The sequence below is a fragment of the Homo sapiens genome, chromosome 4, assembly GCF_000001405.40.
Source record: "Homo sapiens chromosome 4, GRCh38.p14 Primary Assembly".
Taxonomy (NCBI): Eukaryota; Metazoa; Chordata; class Mammalia; order Primates; family Hominidae; genus Homo; species Homo sapiens.
The window spans coordinates 176,060,450-176,086,703 of record NC_000004.12 but is presented as its reverse complement, the minus strand read 5'-3'; the positions used below and the strand labels follow the sequence as shown (position 1 = coordinate 176,086,703).

At 34.9% G+C, this 26,254-nt stretch overlaps 1 protein-coding gene across 11 annotated transcripts in view, besides 1 other annotated feature; it reads right to left on the bottom strand.

Moving 5' to 3' along the window:
- The window catches only part of WDR17 (WD repeat domain 17), a 116,975-nt gene extending 96,112 nt beyond the window's left edge, over positions 1-20,863 (bottom strand). For all 11 annotated transcript variants that reach the window (NM_170710.5, NM_001378103.1, XM_047449569.1 and 8 more), the window contains exon 1: positions 20,625-20,863. The gene's annotated coding sequence lies outside the window, so the exon portion shown is untranslated. The remainder of the gene's footprint in view (positions 1-20,624) is intronic.
- Positions 20,608-20,987: a silencer, noted in NCBI's record as "silent region_15814". NCBI's record gives its function as "represses an Ori minimal core promoter by ATAC-STARR-seq in GM12878 lymphoblastoid cells {active_cell/tissue: GM12878}" and the evidence as "EXISTENCE:reporter gene assay evidence [ECO:0000049][PMID:35858748]".

Genomic DNA, 26,254 nt, shown 5'->3' with positions numbered 1-26,254 from the left:
TACATAGGGCACACTTTAATAAAAGGTTACAGAATAGTTGAAAGTCAAAGATCAGAAAATGATAAACTATACAAATATTAACCAAAAGAAAGATCTTATGTAAATCAAAGATAAAATAGATTTTGAGGCAAGAAATATTACCAAAAAGAGAGGAACGTTGCTTAAAGATAAAGGTGACAATGAGACTGAAATGTATAATAATCCTAAAACTGGTTGCATCCAAATGACATACATAGTTTTCAATTATATAAAGCAAGAATGACAAAAAAAGAATGACACAATTAAAGGAAAACTATGTAAATCTACACTCATAATGGTAGATTTTAAGTAACAAATCTCAATAGCTGATAGAATAAACAGATAAAACCCCATAGGATCTGAACAACATACAGAAAAGGACTCAACTGACATATATATGATACTGTACCCAATAATGATAGAATTCACATTCTTTTCAAATAAACATGGGCTACTTACAAAAATTAACCGTGTGCAGAGCCATAAAGAAAATTTAACCAAACTTTAAAACGCTGAAATCATTCAGAGTATATTTTAAAATCAGGATAGAATTAAGTCTGAAATCAATAAATAAAACTACAAAATCCACAACTATCTAGAAATTAAAGAATGCATTTCTAAATAATCTTGGAATCAGAAAAGAAATAAAAATGGAAGTTAGAAAATATTTAGCACTAAATAGCAAAGTCTAAACATAGAAATTTGTGGGTTGCAGCTAGATTAATGCTTGAGTGGGGGAGGATTATAGCATCAATTATATTTCACTTCTTTCTAGTAGAAAAGGAAAAGGAAGAAAAGTCAAAGATTTAAGTTTCTATCTTTAAAAACTGGAAAAAGAAAAGCAAATCAAGCCCAAAAAATGTAGAAAAGGAAATCATTCCAAAAAGAGGTGAAAGCAACGAAATAGTTTACAAACATTCAGTAGAGGAAATCAACTAAACCAAACACTGCTTCCCTTATATCAACTCACAGAAGGACTGATCAAGAAAAATACAGAACAAACACAAATATCCATATCAGATCCTTATCAGGAATAAAAAAATACATCACTATAGAACTTACTGACATAAAAAAATAAGAATACTATATCCACCTTCACACCAATATATTGGATAACTTGGATGAATGGACACATTCTTCAAAAAGAAATACAAGTTACCAAAGTTGATAGAAGAATGAGAAAATCTGTTTAGCCTGAATATGAATATAAGTCTACATGTAAAACTTTTCCCATACACAACCTTCCAGGCCCAGATCGTTTCACTGGCGAATTCTTTAAAATAGTTCAAAAAGAAATGTTACATAAACTCTTTGAGAATATAGTAAAAGGAATCACTTCTCACTTCTTTATATCTTCCCCAAACCTGAAAAAGACGTGTAAGAAGGGAACTACACAGCAATGTCTCTCATAAATTAAACATAAAAATCTTAAACAAAAAAGTAAAGATACATGGAGTTAATGAATTAGATTAAATGTGAAAATGTAAATTCTCTCAAAATTAATCTTCAGATTTAATTCAATCCTAATCAAAAATCCTAGCAGATTTTTTTTATGTATGAAAAGTGCCAAGCAAATTCTAAAATGCATATGAAAATGTAAATGCCCAGGAATAGCCAAGGGAGTCTTGCAAAAGACTGAGGTTTTATATGAACAAGCCTAATGTTATACTATCCATTATAAAGCTATTATAATTAAAACAGGGTGGTGGTGACGCAAAGATACACAAACTGACTAATGGAACAGCATGAGTCCAGGATAGATCTCTTCATATACCGTTAAGTGATTTATGGTGAAGGTGATAATTCAGTGGGGCACAGAACAGACCTTTCAGTAAATGATTCTGCATAATTGAATGCCCTTATGGAAATATAAGCATGTGTGTATATATATATATATTTTATATATATATATAATATATAATATATATATATAATCTCGACAGTAAGCTAACAATTTTAAAAAGAGAGGATGATTATAAAAGTAAATACAAAAGTAAAGTATTAAAGCTTTAAAAGAAAACTAACGATAACATCTTATCTTAGGGATAGGAAAAGACTCATTAAATAGGACACAAAAAATGCCAATCACAAGGGAAAACATTGACATATAGGACAATATTATGGTTACAAACTTATTGCTATAATTTGGATGTTTGTCCTCCCTCAAACCTCATGTTGAAATTTGATCACAATGTTGGAGGTGTGATGGATGTAATGGAAAGGTGTCTGTATTATAGAGGCAGCTCTCTTATAAATAGATTAATGCCTTCTCTCAGTAAAAGGGTGAGTTCTCACTCTAGTTCCCAGGAAAGCTGGTTGTTAAAAAGACCCTGGCACCCCCAGCTCCTTGCTGCCTTTCTTGCTGTGTGTTCTTTGCACACACCAGTTCCCCTTCACCTTCTACCATGAGTGGAGGCAGCCTGAGACCCGAACCAAATGCTCAGTCTTGAACTTTTCCAGACATTAGAATCATGAGCTTAATAAATCTTTTTTCTTTATAGATTACTTAGCCTTGGGCATGCCTTTATAGCAACACAAAACAGACTAAAACACTTGCATTCATCAAGACATTGTTAAAAGTGTGAAAGGCAAGGGAGAAAATGTTTATAGCACCTATGTTCAACAAAGGACACTTACAACCAAAAAAAAACAAAAACAAAAACAAAACAAAACAGACTGGCAAACCAATAGAAAAATGGACAAAAGGGAAGATAAATTCAGATCATCCAAATAACTAAGTAGCATATGAACAGTTGCTCAATAACACCAGTCATAAGGGAAATACAAAGTAAAACTGCAAAGAGATACTGCTGCCCTCCCAACAGAAGGACTAAACTGCACAATACCACAGATTGGCGACAGTGCAGAGTAACTGAAACTCATATACTGCTCAGGGGAACGTAAACTGGGGCAAATGCTTTGGACAACTCATTGGCCGAATCCTCTAACGCCGAACAAATACATACCCCATGACCAGCATTTCCACTCCTAAGTGTATAGCCAACAGCAATGGGTAATGTTCATCAAAAGACATGTATTAGAATATTCACAGTATTTCTATTTATAAAGTATAAACTGCTCAAGTATACTTTAATAGTACAATGATACAGTATATTCATACTGTGTGGAAAAGTTCATAATAATGAGAATAAGTAACAACTACATGCAACCCTACAGATGAAACTCACAAATAATGAAAGAAGCCAGATATAAAAATAATACTGTATTCCATGAATACAAAGCACAAAAATGTACAATATTTATCTATTCTGCTAGTGGTATCCTTGGTGGTGGTAGTGAGTGCTGATAATGTTCTATTTATGCTTAAAAACAAAAATAAAAACAACCTAAGGGAAGAATTGCCTCTGAATGATATGTTTGTGTAGCACGAATCATAATCATCATAGTCAATGAGTTCTTTTTAATGAATTACTCAGCCCCCATCTCCTGAAAATTTAACCCAAATTCCTAGCCAGAATCCCTAATTGTTCTAGTCTAAACATTAAAAAATCACTTGCATTAGGGTAATATAACAAGTCTAAAATGCCCCACGTATGCCACAGTGCCTCATGAATAAAATATTATTAATTTTTAGAGGAAAAAATAGACTTCTAAGTTAATTGCTATTTAATATAATTTGGTTTTCTAAGAAAATCTATCAAACAGTTTAAGTACTCTTTATTTCTAAGAAATATAAATGTAGTCTTTATTAAAATTCAAAGAAAAACATTTTACTCTTTTATGAAAGTGGCTTGATGTAGCAGAAAAAGTATAAGCTTTTCAAAAGTATGTATATTTTTGGATGAGCCTATATTTCCCTGTCTAAAATTCATCTTCATCTTTGCTATTTCCTAAGACTTAAAGTAAATAAATTAAAAAATCCCATGAAAAGCATTTTGTAAAATGCAGATGAATCTAACATTGGAGAAAATAATTTTTAAAATGGAAAGTATCTTAGACACTATATTTCCACAAATTTTTGAAAATAAAAAGCATTGGGATTTATTGTTTGCATTAAGAGAAAAGGCATACCATTTTCAGCTCACCCTTTTTCTTCCATTTGGAACTTGGAAAGTAAGCCTGGCACATTAGCAAATATCTTGGATCGTTAAGGACAAGGGTTATACCAAAGAATAGTAGAACGGGAACTGGAAGATGTCTCAATCCCGGAAAACCTGGACTTTTAAGCCACTGTAATGTTGCATTTCTCGGTTATGCAGCCAAATCTCAGGTCGACTTTTAGGTTGCCTATTTTCAAATCATATTTTACAAAGCGAAATTCTCAATTAGTCAATAATGTCAATTACTTACAGCCTTCTTCATTTCTTGTCTTTAAATATAATTACCATGTTTCATCACCCCGAGTATACATGGTTATTAAAATTCAGTCATTACTGTCTATAGTAATACAACAAGCAGAATTGGTGTCGTTTTGCCTTACCAAATGTATTATTTGCCTATGTTTCTATCTCATTAATGTGACATATTATTTAGTGAAAAAATTAATCCATATATATCTGTTGCATCATTTTATTTCATTCATTTTGGCAAATAGTATAAATCATGGCCAGGAACTAAAGCCAGTTATTAAAGATACAAAGATAAACAAGAAGTAAACAAAGCAGAAAAAAAAAAGCTGCTTCAAGAAACTTAGAGCAGAAGAGCTAGACACACAGCAGACACATGTTGTCTAATCTACCAACAACCATTCTCACTTGTCTCCTTCCCTGCCAACAGAGTCCCACATTCTTTTGGTACAGGTGGAATTACACTGATCTCAGGGAGGAAAGGCTGTTTACCTATCCTAGGAGGAGAATGATGTTTGGTCTATGTCAGTCATAGTAATTTCATCATCTGGACAATTAGAGGCCTAGGTGTGGGCATCTGATCCAGCTTCAGCTAAGGAGATACAAGTGGAAATCTATGGTGTTATTCTCCTGCCCTTCTGACCGGAACATTGATGTGATGCTGTCGCTGCAGCAGCTGTCTTGCATCCCCGAAGGAAAGGCCAAGAAAACTGCAGAGATGCTGCAATTCTAACACTATTGTTGCACCATCTTCAGGCATCTTGTTATAAGAAAAAAAGGAAGTCTGTTTTAGTTACTGATTTTCTGTTATTTGCACTTGACTTCATTTCTAATAGACACAAATAAATGTATGAAACAATATGCAATAGCTGCTATAATAGAGAATGAACACATATTTGGAGGAACAGAAAGAAAAATGTGCCTATGATTTAGGTGGCCAAGAAGGCTGTATAAAAAAAAGGTGAGGTTGGAACTTTGAGAGGGAAATTATTTTTCTGTGCCTAAAGTATAATGGCACGTAAAAAGGAGTAGTGGAACATGAGAATGAACAGACAGGCGAGACAGAATGATGGAAAGTCATGTAGATCATGGTAAGAACTGTGAATTTTACTTTATAGGAGATGGGGAGTCTTTGAAACATTTTCAACATGCTAACGATATTTTAAAATCACACAGAAATCCCATTTTGTGATTTACTAATATCATCCTGACACTATTTTGAAAAGGCCTCTGGGGGACAGGGTAGCAAAACATGTATAAGTAGATGAGAAAGACAAGGGGCTGAACTAATTAACTGGCAGCAAGGGAGAGGTAGAACTTAAGATTTGTAGACTTCTGCCTGACTGAATAACTTAGCCCCATTCATTGAGAGAGAGAATTCAGTAGGAGCTCCAGGGTCTGGGATAAAGCGATAAAGCTCTATTAAAAGATATTGAATGCAAAATGTCAGTGCGACATGTAGGTGGAGATTCCTAAAATTAAAATACAGAGGTCTGGATAAGCATTTCATACACAATTTTGAGTAACACCAATGTCTGAGGGATAAGTACAGGAAAGAAAAAGGAGTCTGAAAAGACAACCAAGCAAAGAGATACAATAAATAAAAATAATAGAGAAAATAATATGTTAAATGTCAAAGGAGAACGTTCTCAAGCAGGTTAAATATTTCAGACAGGCCAAGTAAAATTAAGACTGAAGTATTCATCCTGCATTTGAGGATTAAGAAGCAGGCTGTTAATTAGCAAAATTAGTAAAACCTCCACTAGTCAATGATCGGTCCTCATTTTACTTGCTACTTTAGCAGCAGTAGCTGCCACGTTGGATCACAGTTGAATCCACCCTCCTGAAACATCTCTTTCACTTACCTTTTAGAAAAGTGTTTTCTTTTGATTCCCCTACTACTTCAGTGCCTTCTCCCCATTGTTTTTTTAAAATCTTTTTGTTTTGATTCCTCATCATCTCCCTGAACTTCAAACTTTAGAACGTCCTAGGGATCAGTCCTTGGATTTCTTCTCCACACCGGTTCTCTCGGTGATCCCATCCAGTTTTAGAAATTTAAATACCATATACATTTACCCCCAAGTTTTTATCTTGAGTCTAATTCATATTTATAATTTCCTGCTTAACATCCCCACATGGATTTTAAATAGATTCTCAAATTTAAGTTATTAAAAAAAAACTTATGATGTTCCCCACAAAATATGCTCCTACTTGTTTTTTTCTAATTCAGTAAATGGCCACCAATCTGACTATAGTAAATAGCTACTGATGACTGCTGCTATGGTTTGACTGCATCCCCTACATTTCATGTGTTGGAAACTTAATCCCCAATGTGGCAGCATTGAAACGTGGGGCCTTTAAAATTGATTAGATCATGAGGGTTCTGCCCTTGTGAACAAATTAATCCATTCATGGATTAATGAATTAGTGGCTCAATGGGTTAGCAGGTTATCATGGGAGGGGAAGTGGTGGCATTATAAGAGTAGGAAGAGACCTCAACAAGCATGTTAAGCATGTTAGCATGCTCACCCCCCCTCGCCTTGTGATTACCTGTACTGCCTTTGGACTCTTCAGAGTCCCAACCAGCAGGAAGGCTCTTAGGCTTTTACCAGATGTGGCCTCTTGACCTTGGACTTCTTAGCTTCCGTAATGGTAAGAAATAAACTTATTTTCTTTACAAGTTACCCAGTTTCAGGTATTCTTTTGTAAGCACCAGAAAATGTATGAAGACAACATATGTATGTAGGTATAAAGAATAACTGATGTTTCCTTAATTTGATTCAATATGAATCACCTTCTGGTGATAGAGACATTCCATTTGAGATATGTATGAGTGTGTATGTGTATGTTGACATTTTAGTAAAGACTATGTGTAAATTTTTAAAAGCATTAAGAAATAGAGACTATTTGCAGTACTGCTAATAAAAACTGGGTTTTATTTTTCCAATTCTAATACATTTCTTATTAGTTTACATTTCATTACTTACTGATTAAACAGCCCCATGACAAAAGGAAATCAGAACATCCAAAAGATATCTCCACTCCCATGTTTACTGCAGCACTGCAGCACTATAGCCAAAATGTAGGATCAAACGTAAAGTCCATCAGCAGATGAATGGATAAAGAAAATGTGGTATATATACACAATGAAATACCATTGAGCCATAAAAAAATAAAATGCTGCCATTCATGGCAACATAGATAAGCCTGGAAGACATGTTAAGTGAAATAAGCCAAGAACAGAAAGGTAAATACTGTATGTTCTCACTCTTATGCAGAAGCTAAAAAAGTTGGTATCATACAACTAAAGAGTAGAATGCTGCTTATGAGAAGCCACAAAGGGTACAGGGTAGGGGAGATAAGAAAAGATGGATTAAATAATACAAAATTACAGCTATATAGAAGGAATAAGATCTAGTGTTCTAAGCACTATAGGAAGACTATAGTTAACGATAATTTATTATATATTTTCAAATAGCCAGAGAGAGGACTTTGAATGCTCCCAATACAAGAAATGATAAATATTTGAGGTGACAGATATACTATCCTGATTTGATTACTCTATATTGCATGTATCATAAATATGTGCCCCATAAATACATATAACTATGTTTTAATGAACAAAATAAATTAATTAAAAAATGACAAAAAGCCCATGACAAAGATCAAAATATGAGTAGAATTGGAGAGATAAGCAGCAAAATATAATTTTAATTGAAAATTATTATAGTTTTATCTTCCAGTTGAAGAATTTCGTTCCCACAAGTTTCAAGATTCAAAGTTCTATTTTGTTTGTAGGTTCAATATGCCTGAGTCATCTGTGCTATAGAGGCATACAAGTGTTTCAGGTTAAAATAGCATTTCTAGCAGATCCTGACAGAATCTCTTCCAACTTTCCACTTAAACACCATAATGAAGATTTGTTGTTTGCCTCCCCACCACCTCCATTCCCTTCTTTGTGCAATCATTACATTTGTATTTGATGATCCTCTCCTCTGCTTCAGTCCCGGTTTAGGTAAAATTCCAGTCCCTGAACTAGAGCAGGTGATTCCAGTTTATACTCATCATTTCCCTAGCCATTTTAATGGTTCAGTGATGGGAAAAAAATTCAAATGTGTTCATTTATTTATTTATTTATTATAAATATTCAAACATTTATTTATAATAGTCAAAAACTAAAAACAATCCACTATCCATTAGTAGGCAAAGGGATTTAAAAAATGTATCCATATAATGGAATATTCTGCAGCAATAAGAAGGAATGAACTAGTGATACATGCAACAAATGCATAAATATCAAGATAATTACACTGAGTAGAATAATATAGACAAAAAGAGTGCACAACGTATCATTCTATTTATACAAAGTTCTAGAAAATGCAAACTAATATTTAGTGACAGAAAGCAATCAGTGGTTGCCTGGGTCAAATGTGTTTAATCTTGAAATTTAGGACTTTTATGGGCACTACTAGAAAAAGAACCTTTCTCTTCTGTGGACTAAACCACAGGTAGTGTGAAATCAGAGATAATATAAGTTATTTTATTATCATGAGGAGATATGTAGAATTGCTTGAGGCTACTACCTGTAGCTTGAAAAAAGCCAGCACAGTAGAGAGGGGCTGAGTCACAATGACATCAATTTAACACTGAAGCTAGTTATGAATGATACATACAATCATCCAACTCTATCCTTAGATTTTTTTTTAAGTTACATGAGCTAGTAAAATGAGTGTATTTTCTGTTGCCTACAACTGAAAGAACCCTAATTGGCACTTATCACAGGAAAAATACACCAAAAAACTCATAGTCACATATAAAATAAGGTTTCAGCATCAGCGACATTTTAATCTGGGAGGAATTTCCTCTAAACACTAAGGTACTATAATCGGTGTCATAGGTACTACGTGAAAGGAACTACAGAGTGCCATAGATGGACCATCCACAATGCTGCTAGAAATTTTAGAAGCTTTCTCCCAGGACGTATGTATAAATGTACATTGTCATTGCCTCATTAAATGCCCCCAATTTAGAAAAACAAGATCAATGTCAACCAGAAAGTAACAGAGCTATTAAACCATGCATGGCCTGGGAGCTGTAGTACTGTCTTTCTCATTTCCATCATGTACCTTTTCTATCCTTCTTCACTCAGTCCATGACCCCCGCCCTTATATTTACTCAGTGACTACAGCTCTTAGTGAAAAAAAAAAAAAAAAAAAAAAAAAATTGGGAGAAAAAGTGAGATAAGACAGTAGTACTATACTCTAAGGAAGTGTAGCTCTTCAGCAATATATTATAGGTGGAAGCAAAAAGTATTTTTATTTTTTTCATGTATTTCCCCATTGATTGAGTCAATGCAGAGGGGAGAAAGTTCCATCTCAGGAAAAAAGAATCTACTACATAATAGAAAGTCTGCTAGACAATGCCTATTAGATTAGGACATTGACATAGATTTCTATCAATGTTGATATAAGAAGGAGATTTGACATTGATCAAATAGTGATATAATTGATCCAGTATCCAAGAAGAAAGAGTTTGGGGCCTGCAGAAACCTACACATTCTGTGTTTTGGTAATCAATAGCCTATATGGGCCGCCTCTCATTCAGGAGTAGGAATGAACATACTATCAGCTAAGATAAAGAGGCTGCAGGATGAGATGGCTAAAATAATGATTATGAAAAAAACAAAAGACAACAGCAGAATAAAAATCCACATTAAAGAGCAATAAAGAGCCAAACTGAAATTGCAAAAAAAAATCATATCAATGATTCAGAGAACAAAGTGAAAAAACTCTTCCAAAACACTGGAAAATAAGAGATTTTTTAAAATTTAGAGAAATTGAAAGATACAGTATACAAGGAATGAAACCTCAAACTAAAATATTAAGAATATTTTTAGAAAAAGCTAAAGCACAAGTAAAACTACAGAAACAAAAACAACAATCTGAGATGCAGCCAAAAAAAAAAAAAAAACCAACAACGACAACTCATTTACTGGGTTAAAAAAAGACTCTAAATAGGCAGATCAAAAGTGCTTTTGTTTTAAGCAATATACATATTTTGCTTAAATATATACATACAGATACACATATTTTGCTTACATGTATATATATGTGTGTGTGTGTGTATATATATATATATATATATATATATATATATATATATATTATATATGTAAACATACAGTTAACTATCCATACCTGGGTATATTAAGGCAAATTCAAGGCTAATTTATTTCTTTACACTCTAATGAGCAACTAAGAAGTATTTTGTAAAAATATTATGTACAAGTGGAAAAAAACAGATTGGCATCATTTTTCACCACTGCACAAAATTCCCAAATTCAGTGATATAATAACTTTATTAAACTGAAGAACTATTGTGATCTCACTTTTTTTTCCTTTTTTGAGCCAGGGTCTCGCTGCAACACTCAGGCTGGGGTACAGTGTCCCGATCATAGCACATTCAAGCCTCAAACTCCTGAGCTCAAGTGATCTTCTTGCCTCAGCCTCCCGAACTGAGACTACAGCACACACTAACACTCCTGGCTAATTTCTTTTTCTTTTTCTTTTTTGTAGACATAGGGCATCACTATGTTGCCCAAGCTGATCTTGAACTATCCTCAAGTGACCCTCCTGCCTCAGCCTCCCAAAATGCTGATCTCACTCCTCTATAATTTGCCAAAGTATCATACATGTGTGAAGGGAAAACGAACAGAAAGACATTCTCATACTGGAAAGATTTAGAAGGCAATTTACACATGTATTCCTCTTAAAAAATTACTTGAATAAAATTACAGTCTTTTTAAAAATGAATCAAAACAAAGCTCAAATATGGAAGTTAATGTAATTTTTAAAATGTATTAAGCAAAGAAAATGGAATATGGTTATGAAAATGGAAATGACAAAGTAATGATTGAAAGAGAAGACAGATAACCTAAAATGTTCATTATCAAAACTTTAAAATCTTATATTGTTTTCCTAGGTACTAGAGCTTAGGAGAAGAATAGAAGAAAACAAAGATATGGTAAATTTCTCATTTAACAAAGGTAATCAGTAGAAACAATTTGTTTCCTGATATTTAGGGAAAAATCGACTCACAATATTAGAAATTGACTCAGTCACCTTATAATTAAAAAAGCATGAAATTACAAAAATTATGAAACAAAATCTTGAATTTTTTTTGTTAAAATAGATCATAAAATTGAAAGAAAAAAACTGGAAAAAATATTAACATATACATAAAACATCTTAATATGAAAAGAGTAGTTATAAATTAATCATTTGATAAAGTCTATGTAGTTAATTTAAAAGGCATGTCAGACTTATGTTTCTGCATTTAAAAATTAATATATACCTATATACACATACACATTAAAAACTAAAAGGATATACAGCTCAAGGTAAATATTTGGCTATTTCTAGATGGTAAAATTTGGGGAAGTTTATTATTCCATTGACTTTTTAAACTTTCAGTAATCACTGCACAATTTACTCATCCACTCAATAAATATTTATTGAGCAATAACTATGTGCTAGGCAAGAACAGCAAAAAAAAAAAAAAAAAAAAAAGCATTAAAAAAAATCCCGCATGCCCAGAGCTTTTATTCTTGTAGCAGGGAATCACAAAATTAGCACAGGGGCTCGTGTATTTAATCCCAGTGCTTGGGGAGGATAAGGTTGGAGAATCACTTGAGGCCAGGAGTTCAAGCCCAGCCTGGGCAACACAGCAAGACCCTATATCTACAAAAATACAAAAATTAGCCAGGTGTGGTGCATGCACCTCTAGTCGCAGCTACTCATGAGGCTGAGGTGTGAGGACCACGTGAACCCAGGAAATCGAGGCTGCAGTGAGCTATGATCATGCCACTGCACTTTAGCCTGGATGACAAAGTGAGACTCTGTCCTTTTTTAAAAAAAGGAAATTAGCAAAACAGATAAGTAAATTATATATATAAATATATATGTATATGTGTAGTATATATCACAATTATCTTGAGTTTTATATATATCTCTCAAGATAATCTGTGGAATAGAGAAAAATAAAAATAATGGAGGGAAAAGGGAAAAGGTGTTCTGGTGACAGAGCTCACATTGTAATTTTTTTAAAAGATGGCACAGGATGGATTAAAGACTTACATGTTAGACCTAAAACCATAAAAACCCTAGAAGAAAACTTAGGCAATACCATTCAGGACATAGGCATGGGCAAGGACTTCATGTCTAAAACACCAAAAGCAATGGCAACAAAAGCCAAAATTTACAAATGGGATCTAATTAAACTCAAGAGCTTCTGCACAGCAAAAGAAACTACCATCAGAGTGAACAGGCAACCTACAAAATGGGAGAACATTTTTGCAACCTACTCATCTGACAAAGGGCTAATATCCAGAATCTACAATGAACTCAAACAAATTTACAAGAAAAAAACAACCCCATCAAAAAGTGGGTGAAGGATATGAACAGACATTTCTCAAAAGAAGACATTTATGCAGCCAAAAAACACATGAAAAAATGCTCATCATCACTGGCCATCAGAGAAATGCAAATCAAAACCACAATGACATACCATCTCACACCAGTTAGAATGACAATCATTAAAAAGTCAGGAAACAACAGGTGCTGGAGAGGATGTGGAGAAATAGGAACACTTTTACACTGTTGGTGGGACTGTAAACTAGTTCAACCATTGTGGAAGTCAGTGTGGCGATTCCTCAGGGATCTAGAACTAGAAATACCATTTGACCCAGCCATCCCATTACTGGGTATATACCCAAAGGATTATAAATCATGCTGCTATAAAGACACATGCACACGTATGTTTATTGCGGCACTATTCACAATAGCAAAGACTTGGAACCAATCCAAATGTCCAACAATGATAGACTGGATTAAGAAAATGTGGCACATATACACCATGAAATACTATGCAGCCATAAAAAATGATGAGTTCATGTCCTTTGTAGGGACATGGATGAAACTGGAAACGATCATTCTCAGCAAACTATCGCAAGGACAAAAAACCAAACACCGCATGTTCTCACTCATAGGTGGGAATTGAACAATGAGAACACATGGACATAGTAAGGGGAACATCACACTCTGGGGACTGTTGTAGGGTGGGAGAAGAGGGGAGGGAAAGCATTAGGAGATATACCTAATGCTAAATGACAAGTTAATGGGTGCAGCACACCAACATGGCACATGTATACATATGTAACAAACCTGCACATTGTGCACATGTACCCTAAAACTTAAAGTATAATAATAATAAAATAAAAAATAAAAAATAAAAAGATGGCACAGGAAGTCCTCATAGGTGATACTGAGCAGACATTTGAAGGAAAGCAAAATATAAGACATCTGGTGAAAAAATCTTGCTAAAAAGAGGGAGCACAAAAATAAAGACTCAGAGATGTGTTTCTGGGAATGTCTGAGAAATAGTAAGAAAAATCAATAAAAGTACCTAAAAATGTCTATTAAAAGGTCAGCGTTTTATACCAGGATGCAGAGATTCAAGATAGTTTTGTGAAACTCACTTTTATACTCTTCTGAATTGTGTAATTTTTCTGTAATGGAAATGTATTGCCTTTATTACTAAAAAATAAAACCCTAAAAACACATTGTTGAAATGTCAGTGTTTAAAGTGTAAATATACTATGTGCTCGGAGCTATGCAAAAAATATGTCTTCTCATATAATCCATAGGTGCTTGCTCTCTGGAAAACATCTGGAAAATGCAGAAAAATGAAAGGAATTTTAAAAAAATCATCCATTGGCCCACTAACTTGAGCTCTTCTTGTATCCATAATTCTAAATGAGCATTATTCTCATTGTGATAGATAGCAACATACATTATCAAGAATAAATAGGATTTCAAAAATCTCTTAATCAGTGTATCTCAAAGTGTGGCTCTCAAGTATTTCGCATCAGAATTAACTTAGATACTTGCTAAAAATGCAGACTTGTGAATCACATCCCAACTCCAACAAATGAGAACCTTGGAGTGGAGCTTTTCAATATCACTCTCAGACAATTTAAATGCACAGCAAGCCTTAAGAACTACTGGCCTAGTTCAATGTCTATAAAGATGAGTTGGAAGAAAAATTGTCTCTGGTATCTTCTACTGTCTGAGATTAATCTCTGAAATGTCTAGTTTACCTTTCACATGCTTGAGTTTACCTGAGCATTTCTGAGTTTACCTTTTACATGCTTGGCAGGCAGTGTTATCTAAGCATTCCCAATATATGTCAAATCATGATGTTCTTAAAAGCTTAGAAGACAAAATAGGTCACAAGTACAGTACTAGCCTACATTAAAATCCTGGATTAGGTAGCAAGTAGAGAAGAATGAGGTCATTATGGCAGTTCTACTTTGGACTCACGAAATGACCACTTATACCAGTATGAATTCCATCTTGGTCAACAAAACACAGGAGTTATATCTAAGACCAAACACTGAACATCAAAAGAGCAAGACACCGATTCAAAGATACAGAAAGATGAATGGAGTTACCTTTATTATCTATTTACATATATTTTTATACTTTCCTCCATTTTAGCCATGAAAATGAAAATTATATGGATTTGAATCCTGGAACTAGACTTACCCAGATGCTTAGAGGATTACAGAACGTTTTGTGCTGCAACATGGAAATAATTTTTGATTTGATCAAAGAAGTAATCCACATCTACTTCAACAAGCTCATTCATATACTTTCATTGTGACCATTCTGAGAGAGGTATCCAAAGAATAATAGAAAAGGGAAAGGCCGGGTGTGGTGGCTCACGCCTGTAATTCCAACACTTTGAGAGGCCAAGGTGGGCCGAGGTCAGGAGTTTGAGACCAGCCTGACCAACATGGTGAAACCCCGTCTCTACTAAAAATAAAAAAGTTAGCTGGGCATAATGGCCTGCGCCTGTAATCCCAGCTACTCAGGAGGCTGAGGCAGGAGAATTGCTTGAATCCGGGAGCTGGAGGTTGCAGTGAGCCTAGATCGTGTCACTGCACTCCAGCCTGGGCGACAGAGTGAGACTCTGTCTCAAAAAAAAAAGAGAAAAGAAAAAAGAAAAGGGAGAAATCACATATTTTCAATTATAAACTAAGAATTTTTGAAGTAAATATTCCATTGCGAGAACACTATGGAAGGAAATAAGTAAATATTTGTCATAAAAAGATACAAGATTATTTCTTCAACAGGGTGTGGCAAAAAGTATACCCCTATTTTTATAAATAGAATCACTGCTCATTAAAAAAAAAAAGACTTGAGGAACTCTGCCATAAATTGCTATGTAATCCCCAGGACCCTCGCTCCCCTTCTAATTAACCTGGTTTGTGAGTTGGGTTTTGTATGTGAGTTTTTGAAGCAGGATGAGCCTTCATGCTTATCTGTCTATCAAACTTAGGATTCCCCATTGGGCAGAAAGTCACTTAATGCTGGCATATTCATGTTCTGGGAAAAGGTGTTAAAAATTATTTTGGCAAGTCAGTTTGGGAAAACCAGCAAAGAAAATCAAATGGATGCTTAGAAGCTTGAATATTAAAAAACAAAAACAAAAACAAAAACAGGGCCAGTCACAGAGGCTCATGCATCCCAGGACTTTGGCAGGCCAAGTTGGGTGGATCGCTTGAGCCCAGGAGTTCCAGATCAGCCTGGGCAACATAGTGAGCTGTCTTCTCTACGAAAAGTAAAAAAAAAAAAAATTAGCCAAGAGTGGTGGTGCGTGCCTGTAGTCCCAGCTGCTCAGAAGGCTGCTGTGGGGGGATTGATTGAGCCTGGGAGTTCAAGGCTGCAGTGAGCCATGATCACACCACTGCACTCCAGCAGGAGACCCTGTCTCAGAAGAAAAAAAGAAAAGAAAAAAGAAGTGGAAAAAAAGGGAAAAAAGGATCTACATAAACTAACTAAACTCGAAACTTTCTTCAATATATGCATTCAATATATTGACAGAGGCCTGAAATAAGTCTGATTTTAATTTGCTAAGTAAAGGGCTGTATTACCTAAGGTAGGGCCCAGGCACAGATCTGATAGGTTGGTAATCTACATATTAGTCTGCCTAAGTCAAATATTACGCTCTGAGCCAACATAAAATTCCCCCTAAACATGAGCTAATGAATTAATTTTGAAGGTGAGACATTATGCCCAAAAAGCTACTATTGATATATAAATGTTAACGAAACGTATCCACTATTATATTTTCAGGAATAAATTCATTTATTTAGTAGTTCATGGTACTCCCAAGTAAAGCTTCAGAAGTAGAACATAAGCCAGCTTTTCCCTTATTAATTTTGAGAACATAATTTTTATGTGTTTAGTGTCCTCATTAACAGAATAACGGTGTTAGAGTAACTGGTCTTAAGGATCCTTCTATCATAAATTCCAAAATGACCCCTTCAAACCTGTTTACCTTAAAAATAAAATGTTGCATAACTCTTTTCATTAAAAGTCATCCATAATGTTTTATCTTAAAGAATCAAACTTAATTAAATGTTAGCTATTTCTTATTAACCAACTATTCATTTTTTTGAGACTCCATGTGGAGCTGTTTGTATTGTAATGAAGGGTTTTTTTAATAGCATGTTAAACACGAGTGCTTTGTGTAATAAAAATTATTTTCTACTTTCCGATTTGAAAGTAAGTTTTCTGTGTGCGTGATATGAAATTGAACTTACTACACATCATTGTAAATGAGTCTGCCTGGGACACTGGTACATGCTTACAACTAAAAAAAATGGGAAGAATCTGGAAGAAGAAAACAATAAACCTAAGCATAAGAAAAATTGTTTAAGGACCTCAATCTTGAGTTCTCCATCTCAGAACATTTGAATGTACAAAACAAGTATTGACTGTTATAACATCTTCACTGACACATGGAAATTTATTTCTTACACTTTTGCTACAATTTATCCGAACATGACAATTATCAATCATCCTTATCATAGCAAATAACATTGTTAAATTACCTCCTGTATTATCTTAATTATAGATTTATATTACTGTCTATTTCTACAGTACATTTTTTAAATTAGAATGTAGAATTACAGAATTTTATAAGACAGCTTACTGAACAATACTTTGTAAGTACATTTAACATAATAAAAAGTAAGACTTTTATCAATATATATATATAAATTATTTTCCTCAAGTAGCTGATAATGTGACATCTGGAAGGCAGGTGCCAGCTGTGGCTCCAATATCAAGTTCTTTTTTTTTCTTACAAAATCTAGCCTATTTGAAATGTTTGACTAGTCACTGAAATTATACCTGTCTAGTCACTGAAATCAGATGAAAACAACCTGAACTCTGCCTTCTAATGTGACAGCCCATGCTTTAAGCATGGAAACTTTTCAAATCTTTCTAATTAATCGTGATGGGAATTTTTCTTTTACTATACAAAGCTGATCATTTTATATTATTTCTACCAATTTTTATTACCAAAGTTGCAAGTCCTTCGTGAACATTTTAAGTAAACTCAAATAAGAAAAATGTTTTTCTCTAGGTTTTGTTTCCTTATAGAGTAGATTCTTTGGGAGAATTTCTAAAATTCTCTTCAGGTATCCGTATCTAATTTCTTGCTCACAAATTTCAAGGAATAGTTTTATCAACAATGAAAGAATAATCACGATACTATTTTAACAGGATAAAGCACAGTCTTGGGTATCAAAAAGTACCAACCAAATCTTAAGTTTCATATGTTTCTGATACAAAAGAAAAGGAGCATGAATTAATAAAAAATCCCTTCCAATATCCTCCTTTTTTTCTTTTTCTTTTCTTTAATTTTTTTGACGTTGTCTTGCTCTGTCGCCCAGGCTGGCATGCAGTGGCGCAATCTTGGCTCACTGCAACCTCCGGGCCTCCTGGGTTCAAGAGATTCTCATGCCTCAGCCTCCCAAGTAGCTGGGATTACAGACGTGCACCACCACGCCCAGCTAATTTTTGTATTATTAGTACACATGGGGTTTCACCATGTTGGCCAGACTGGTCTCAAACTCCTCACCTCAGGTGATCCGCCTGCCTCAGCCTCCCAAAGTGCCGGGATTACAGGTATGAGCCACCGCACGCAGCCTATCCTCATATGATTTCTATAAATTAATATAATTTCGATGAAATCTCTGTTCCTGAAGACGTACTGGAAGATACATGACTTCACTTTAATATTTCCATCTGTTCAATGGAAGAGGTATACAAAATGTAAAATGAGATAATTCAGCAGTGGTCAAAAGTAGCAATGATGCTTCCATATACATAATTATCATGAATAGCTGGGTAAACTCTTAAGTATTCAGTATTACAATTCAGTAATCTGATAAAGCGTTACCTTTCTTGCATATGTTAGATTTCAAAGAAATTCTGGAATATAGGATGAAAATGTGAATCCTTCAAAACTGTCAGAATTACATTTTAGTCGTCATTAAAGTATTTAGGCAACAAAATCAGGTACTCTGGAGAATTTACACATTTCATTAATAGTGACAACCTAATCATTCATGTTGGACTTCTAGTATCCATCAGGGTAAAACCATAAAACAAACAAACAGAAACCTGTTCTTAAACTTCTCCAAGTAATTAAAAAACTGCCACTGGCCCTGTCCCTCCTTTCCCAGACTAAAGGATACAAGATAGAGTCTGTAGAAAACAGCAACAACAAAAGCAATCTAGCCCTAGTCTCCCCTCTACTGGGAGCATTGTTTTTCTGGCCTAAATTAATTTATGGCTTTCTAATCTATGGAATTATTTATGTGACTAATGGGTAACTTAAAAATATTTAGAACACCACTATTTATCATTAGAAATAAGAAGAATAAAGAATGTTAAAACTTTCAAGTAAGCATATTTAACGTCTTCTTCAGATGTCCACAGTTTTTTAAGCAGTTCTATTAATATCAACACAAGAGAAAGTCAGAACAATGTAAACAATAACATTCAACTAGTTATTTTTACATAATTACGTTTGCAGAACTCAAGAGCTTTACTTTCCGTATATGCCCTTTGAAATAAGTCATTGCTTTAAAACTTCCCAGGAACTCTAAAGCTACCATTTGTAACATTAATCTCCAAACAATCCAGTAAAGGATGTTTCCCAAAATATTAACGAATTGACAACTTTTCAAAAGCACTTAATAACTATATTTAATTTTAGATGATAGGAGGGGAAAGGTTCTCAGACCACCTATCTCAGACGTCTGCCTTCAAAACAGTTAGATATAACTATATCCATTTTCTTGAACACTTAGGCCAGTGAGGCAGAATCTCAAAAGGATGTAAGAGTGCTTTCTCCACAGAGTTTGTTTCACCACCCGCCCAGCATCAGCTCCTGGCAAGCAGGGTAATGATAAGGCATAAATCTACAAATAAATTAATGCTTAAACTCTTGTGGAGTTCAAATTTATAAATTCTCATAAATTCATTGTCATTTATTTTCTAATTTTTACAACGCAGAAATGTTATTAGAGTGCTAAGAACGGCAACTATAATCTCACATTGTTGGGCTTTGGCCGTTTCGTATCCTTTTACAACGAACTTGTGTTTTTTTGATAGTTTTCTCTAAAGGGTATTTATGAAAGATTCAGAAATGTAGTATCTCTCTTCAAACCCTTGTTAAATATATATAGTATATATGTATATATTAATATGCAAAATAATTTATTTTTGATGCATGGTCGGACTTTTCATTACTTTTCATTCGAATCAATTGCTTTTAATTAATATATTTAAAAAGTCTCCTTAAATTGTTTGTTCCTTTCAATCTTTGCAAGCAAAACAAGTCTGATTTTGGAGAGGGGAGGACAGCAAAGATTCTATTTTACGATCTACTTAATAAATAGTATACCTGCCTTATATCCAATACCGTCTTTTTTCTGGAACGCATTTCCTTTTTACTCAAACCTTTCTTAGTACAACCCTACTAATAAGTCCATCTTCAAAGGGGTAAATGATCTATACAGAAGTGTCTGGCCGGCGGAGGGATGAGAACAGCAACCTAGGCTCTAGACATATACTTAATAGCCATAAAAATAAAACAATGTCCCTCGAAATGTCCACAGTTTACACTGCAATGGTAGTTTAGATACATAAATATTCGCTGCTTGCTGTGCCTTGTAAGAATCAGGTGTGTGGCTCTAAAACTCAGTTGATTATCTCATCAGGCACCATGGTGTGCAAAGCCCTGCAGGACGTACATTACCCTGGTCCGCGATCACAGGGAGGTCAGAGCCCCTCTCGCATGACGCCGCGACAGTTCCAGCATCACCCACATCAATCCTGAGCTTGCCTTGGTATCTCTGCGGCCCCACCGGCTTCTTACCTGGAGGAGGAGGCGGCTGCAGCGGCGGACAGCGGAAGGTGCTGAAGCCGGCGGGCGCAGCTGCGAGGCGAGCACCACCAACGCGCGGACCCTCCCCGCCCTCCCCGCCTGCTCGCTCAGGGCGCCCGGGGGCGGGGCGGCCGGGCCCGCGGGCTCCGAGGGGCGGGAAGCGTGCTCCGCAAGCCCCAGCGCGGAGCCACGATGGAAGGCGCCGCGAGCCCGATCTCCAGGGTCTGCCCCAGAGGCCCACGTGACAGCTACACAGGTCGCTGATTGGAGCGCCCGAGAGGGGGAGGCGGAAGTGGCTCGTGACCCTTGGAGACTAGGCTGAGGGAGAAGTGGTTACCTGGCAACAGAGAAAGTGTGTTGAAGGCGCAGCTCCTCCGTACTGGAGCGAGGCTTTGGGCAGAGGGTTTGCACTGAGGCTGAAAGTGGAGGAAAACGGTGAACCATCAGCGTTCTCACCACCTAACACATTTTATAGCGAGTCTGCACTTTCTAGGAAAATGAGTCAAATATACAGTAAGTCAGTCATCCTGTCTCTTTCTTGAGGGACCTGGAGGAGGGACTTGAACCAGTGCCTGGAATGTGAGTGCAGAATGCTGTCTCGCCTGCACTTCATTATTGTCTGATTGGGCCCAAGAAGGTCTGTGGGAGAGCTCAATGGATAAGATTATTTGTTTATATTAATCGAGTTGTATGTGGTTAATGTATCTGCCTTCACAAAACTGACATTTTCCCTGTGGGATCTGGTTGAATGGAAGTGCTGGATGTTGTCATTCCTACTGGATTCTTCACATCTCTGAAATATCTTCACTACCTGTGGCCTTTATCCAACACACTAGAGAGAATAAGCCTCGACGTACTCGAAACAAAGTGTATTTAATGACATCTATCGAGAATTAATTATACTCCACTCTAAATAGTTAATAAATGAATGGTCGACCTCAACCAGAGAAAGTCCCTGGGCCTAATTCTTACCTTCCTATGCAGTAGATTTTAATGCTCCTTTTTTCCAAAATATTCTCTGCAGAGACGAGTACCTACCACAGCACTCAATATTCTATATTGTAAATTAAAATTAACTTAAATGTTGGATTTCCATATAAAGAATAAACTTGTTAAAGCTAAAATCAGTTCTTACAACTCCGTCCCCTATATTCTAACAAAGTATCTGATGAATAGCAGGTCTTCAATTAATTCTTGATGGATAGATGGATAAAGAAAGAAAGAAATTAGCACATAATCTACCAGAGAAAGTATAAGGGCAATAACTAAATATAACTCAATGTGTTAAGTACTAAAATAGGGTTACATAAAAGTGCTATGAGATGATTTCAGATGAGGGAGGCAGAACTTTTTCTTCCAAGGTATTCAGAGAAGCTTTCAATATGATTAGTATTTGAGCAGGGACTTATAAATAGGTAGAATTTCACCTGATAAAAAGGGGAAAGTGTATACTATGCAGCAGGAGCAGCATTGCCAAAAGCATAAAGTGGGAAAAAATAAACGATTGATGTAAATAAATTTGATGTTTTTGCCTTCTCCGGAGTTGGGGATGTGAATCCAAAGATAAGAAGGAAGATGGAAATTGGCAAAAGACTGTACTAGAAAAATAAGAAAACTTGATTGGGAAAGATGCAGAATTCTATATATGGGTTAGGCTTTAACCTCTAAACCAAAGGAAGAGATTGAAGTTTATAAAATCAGTGCTTTTTCATCAAGAAAGACACCTTGGAAACATTGGAGATACATGGGATGCAGGAAGATGAAGAACATGGTCTGTTAGGAGAAAAATTCAGTAGTTCATGGGAAAAGATGCTGATGACCTGAGTTAAGACAATGAAAATAAGAATAGCGAAGAGGGAAAATCACAAGAAACATTTCTGTGAAAACAGACTATAGTTTTCATTTATGACTGATATTTGCTAGGTATAGTGCTGAATAGTCAATGGTGTACATGAAGAGAAAATGCTGAAGATACAACGTCTAGCTTAGTCCATCGGTTGGACGGAAAAAATCTTTTATGTTTATTTTGCTCATAATGGCTCCAGCTCTCCAGTTAAGAAACAAAAAACCGGCCGGGCGCGGTGTTTCACTCCCGTAATCCCAGCACTTTGGAAGGCCGAGGTGGGCGGATCACCTGAAGTCAGGAGTTTGACGGCAGCGTGGTGGTGAAACCCCGTTCCTACTAAAATACAAGATGAGCTGGGCGTGGTGGCGGGCACCTGTACTTCCAGGTCCTCGGCAGGCTGAGGCAGGAGAATGGCGTGAACCCAGAAGGCGGAGATTGCGCCACTGCACTTTAGCCTGGGTGACAAGAGTGAGACTCCGTCTCAAAAAAAAAAAAGAAAAAAAAGAAAAAGGAAAAAGAAAGAAACATAAAATTGAATGAGACAACTGAAATTATCTAGTTGTGCACTCATAATTTAAAGATGAAGGTGTTTAAATCTCCAGTCATATTAGCAGCAGATTTTGATAGAGTGATCCCGGTCTCCCAGTTCAGGACTCTTATTCCTTTACCAGAATTTAGTTCATTCCTTTTGAACAGATTTAAATAATCACAACTATAGTTAGATTAGATCTAGAGGAACAATATACCTAATTTATAAAACAAAGATCTCTTTACTCTGATTTTTTATTCTTTTATTCAACCAGTATTTAATGTCATATACTCACCTCACAAAGAAAAAATTGTCAGTCACTTAGGCTGACTGACATTTTCAGGGCAATCATTAGTTCTTAGCACTGAGTACCCGGAGTTCTTCATGATTAAATTTAAAAGCAGAGCGATTAGGGAAGCCAAATGACTCCAGTCAAATTCATCTTCAAGGATAGATAGACATGTTCTATGAGTACAATGGCTTTGAAAAGGAAGTTCAATGCAATTTAATGTGGCAAATGCCCTTTTAATATGTATTCTGGATGAGAAATCAACAAGAAAAAAACTTCTTAAACTAAAATTTTAGAAAAATTTAGCCAAAAAGACTTTAGATTCACCTAATTGAAAAGCCCTCTCACACTTTTTTTTAATGTAAAAATGGTAAGAGAGCAGAAACAAGTATAACAGAAAAAAAAACTTAAACTAATGTGCAGTAAATAGTGAACTAAATACTTAAAAATGTACTTTATGTAAAAACACTTAAAAATTGAAATAGTTTTAAATAGATATATAATCTATTGCCACAATATTGATGATTAAGGTAGATATATTTAAATATATCAAAATATTATTATTTCTATTAAGAAATATATTAGAGGTTATTACTCTTTGGTCTTCTTGAGGTATAAAAATGGCTTAAATTAACCAATAATTTTTGCAGAAAATTGAGATTTTTTCTCTAGATCAATATTGATAGAATTCTTTTATTTTTTTAATAATTGCAGAAAATTTGATATTTTTTCTCTAGATCAATATTGATAGAATTCTTTATTTATTATTATTATTATTATTTTGAGACAGAGTGTCACTCTGTTGCCCAGGCTAGAGTGTAGTGGCATGTTCTTGGCTCATCACAACCTCTGCCTCCAGGGTTCAAGTGATTCTCCTGTCTTAGCCTCCTGAGTAGCTAGGATTACAGGCATGTGCCACCACGTCCAGCTAATTTTTTGTATTTTTAGTAGAGACAGGGTTTCACTATGCTGGCCAGGCTGGTCTCGAAATCCTGACCTCAAGCAATCTGCCCGCCTCAGCCTCTGAAAGTGTTGGGATTACAGGCATGAGCCACTGTGCCCAGAGGATCAATATTGAGAGAATTCTTAAAATTGTTTTTAAATTGTAAAATATTTAAACAGGAAAGTACATACAATAATGCAATAAATATCTATAGTTAATAAATTTTGTTTTTGTCATATTTGCGTTGTCTTTGAAAAAAAAAATTGGCTGGATGTGGTGGCTCACACCTGTAATCCCAGCAATTTGGGAGGCCAAGGTGGGCTGATCACGAGGTCAAGAGATTGAGACCATCCTGGCCAACATGGTGAAACCCCGTCTCTACTAAAAATACAAAAAAATTAGCTGGGCGTGGTGGTGAGCTCCTGTAGTCCCAGCTACTCGGGAAGCTGATGCAGGAGAATCATTTGAACCCGGGAGGTGGAGGTTGCAGGGAGCCGAGATTGTGCCACTGCACTCCACTCTGGGCGACAGAGCAAAACTCTGTCTCAAAAAAAAAAAAAAAAAAAATTATAGGTAGTGAAGTTCTCCTTTTTTCTCTTGTCATTTGATTACTCTCTCATTTTAACCAGATGTAGCTAATCTAACAGATAAATATACTTTCTAAATTTGCTTTATTTTCTGTCATTTATTTTAAAATTTTATAATATTGGTACATATAAGTATATATATTTATATGATATATATCTTATATTAGGAATATAAAATATAGCATCATCATTATTTACCTATTGATGAACATATAAGTGTGTGAACTTTTCTCTATTGCAAAAAGTAGTGAAACTCTTTTCCTGCTCCATATCATCAACATCAGAGTTTTATACTTTTTTCAATCTAATGAATGTATAGTAATATCTCTACATGATTTAAATTTGTGCTTTCTGAAATTGTTGGAATGACACATCTTTTTAAGTTTATAAATTGTTCACTACCTTTTTTTTCTATATTTAACTTTTCCATATTGATTTTTTAGGTTTTAAAATATTCAGGGTGTTTATGTGTTAGATATACCCATTGCAAATATCAGTCCAGATCTTCAGTTGTAAAAATTCTCCATCATTATTTGAATATTTATTCTATTTTTCACTTCTAAAATTTTAATTGAACCTATATGAGAGTTGTTAATTCTACCCATAAATGTATTTATCACTTGTCTTTTCATAGTTTTAATCTCTTTGTCCCTTTGTGCTGAATTCTGTATGACTCTCAGTACCATATTTCAATTTATGAATTTTTTTTCTTCAAATAGTTTCAAAGTGATGATCTTGGCTCCTGCCTAGCCTCATATGAGACATTTAGGTTCCATTTTTCAGCTTAGGCTAATTCTCATCTACTCTTACCTATTTCAGATTTGGGATCCAAAGATTTATGGTTTTAGCTTTACACTCATTATATTTAAGCCACAAATGTGCTTATTGAATTTGTGACTGAGACTCAACAACTTTAATATTCAAATTTTCAAAAACAAAATTCCCCAACCTCCCTGAATGTTAATTTATTCCCGGGAAAATGTTTTTATATCTTTACATAAATTTTGCATATTAATTGAGAGGGATCCTCTTTGAAATTCCCTTAGAATCCACTGACTCTGTAAAAAATCCCTACTCTGTTAGTTTCTGTGACACTGTTCTCTTTGTACAACTAAAAATGCCTTGCCTTTGACAGTATATCCATTTTCACAAACTGAGTTTCAGACTAATGCACCCTTTTGATTTTCTCTTTCACTTACCTTTTTTTTAGTTCAATTGATTTTATGTATAGTAATAAAAAGCATGGTGTTTTCACTCAGTCATCTGCTGAAGCCAGACTGCACTGGTTTGAGAGAAAACTGTTAACATTTTTTAGGAATTTTGCTATTCATTATTAAACACATCTATTCTTAAAATTAAATTATATAAATGTATAATTAAATTAATTAAATTAAAAATCGAAGTAATAAATACTCAAAATGTATCAC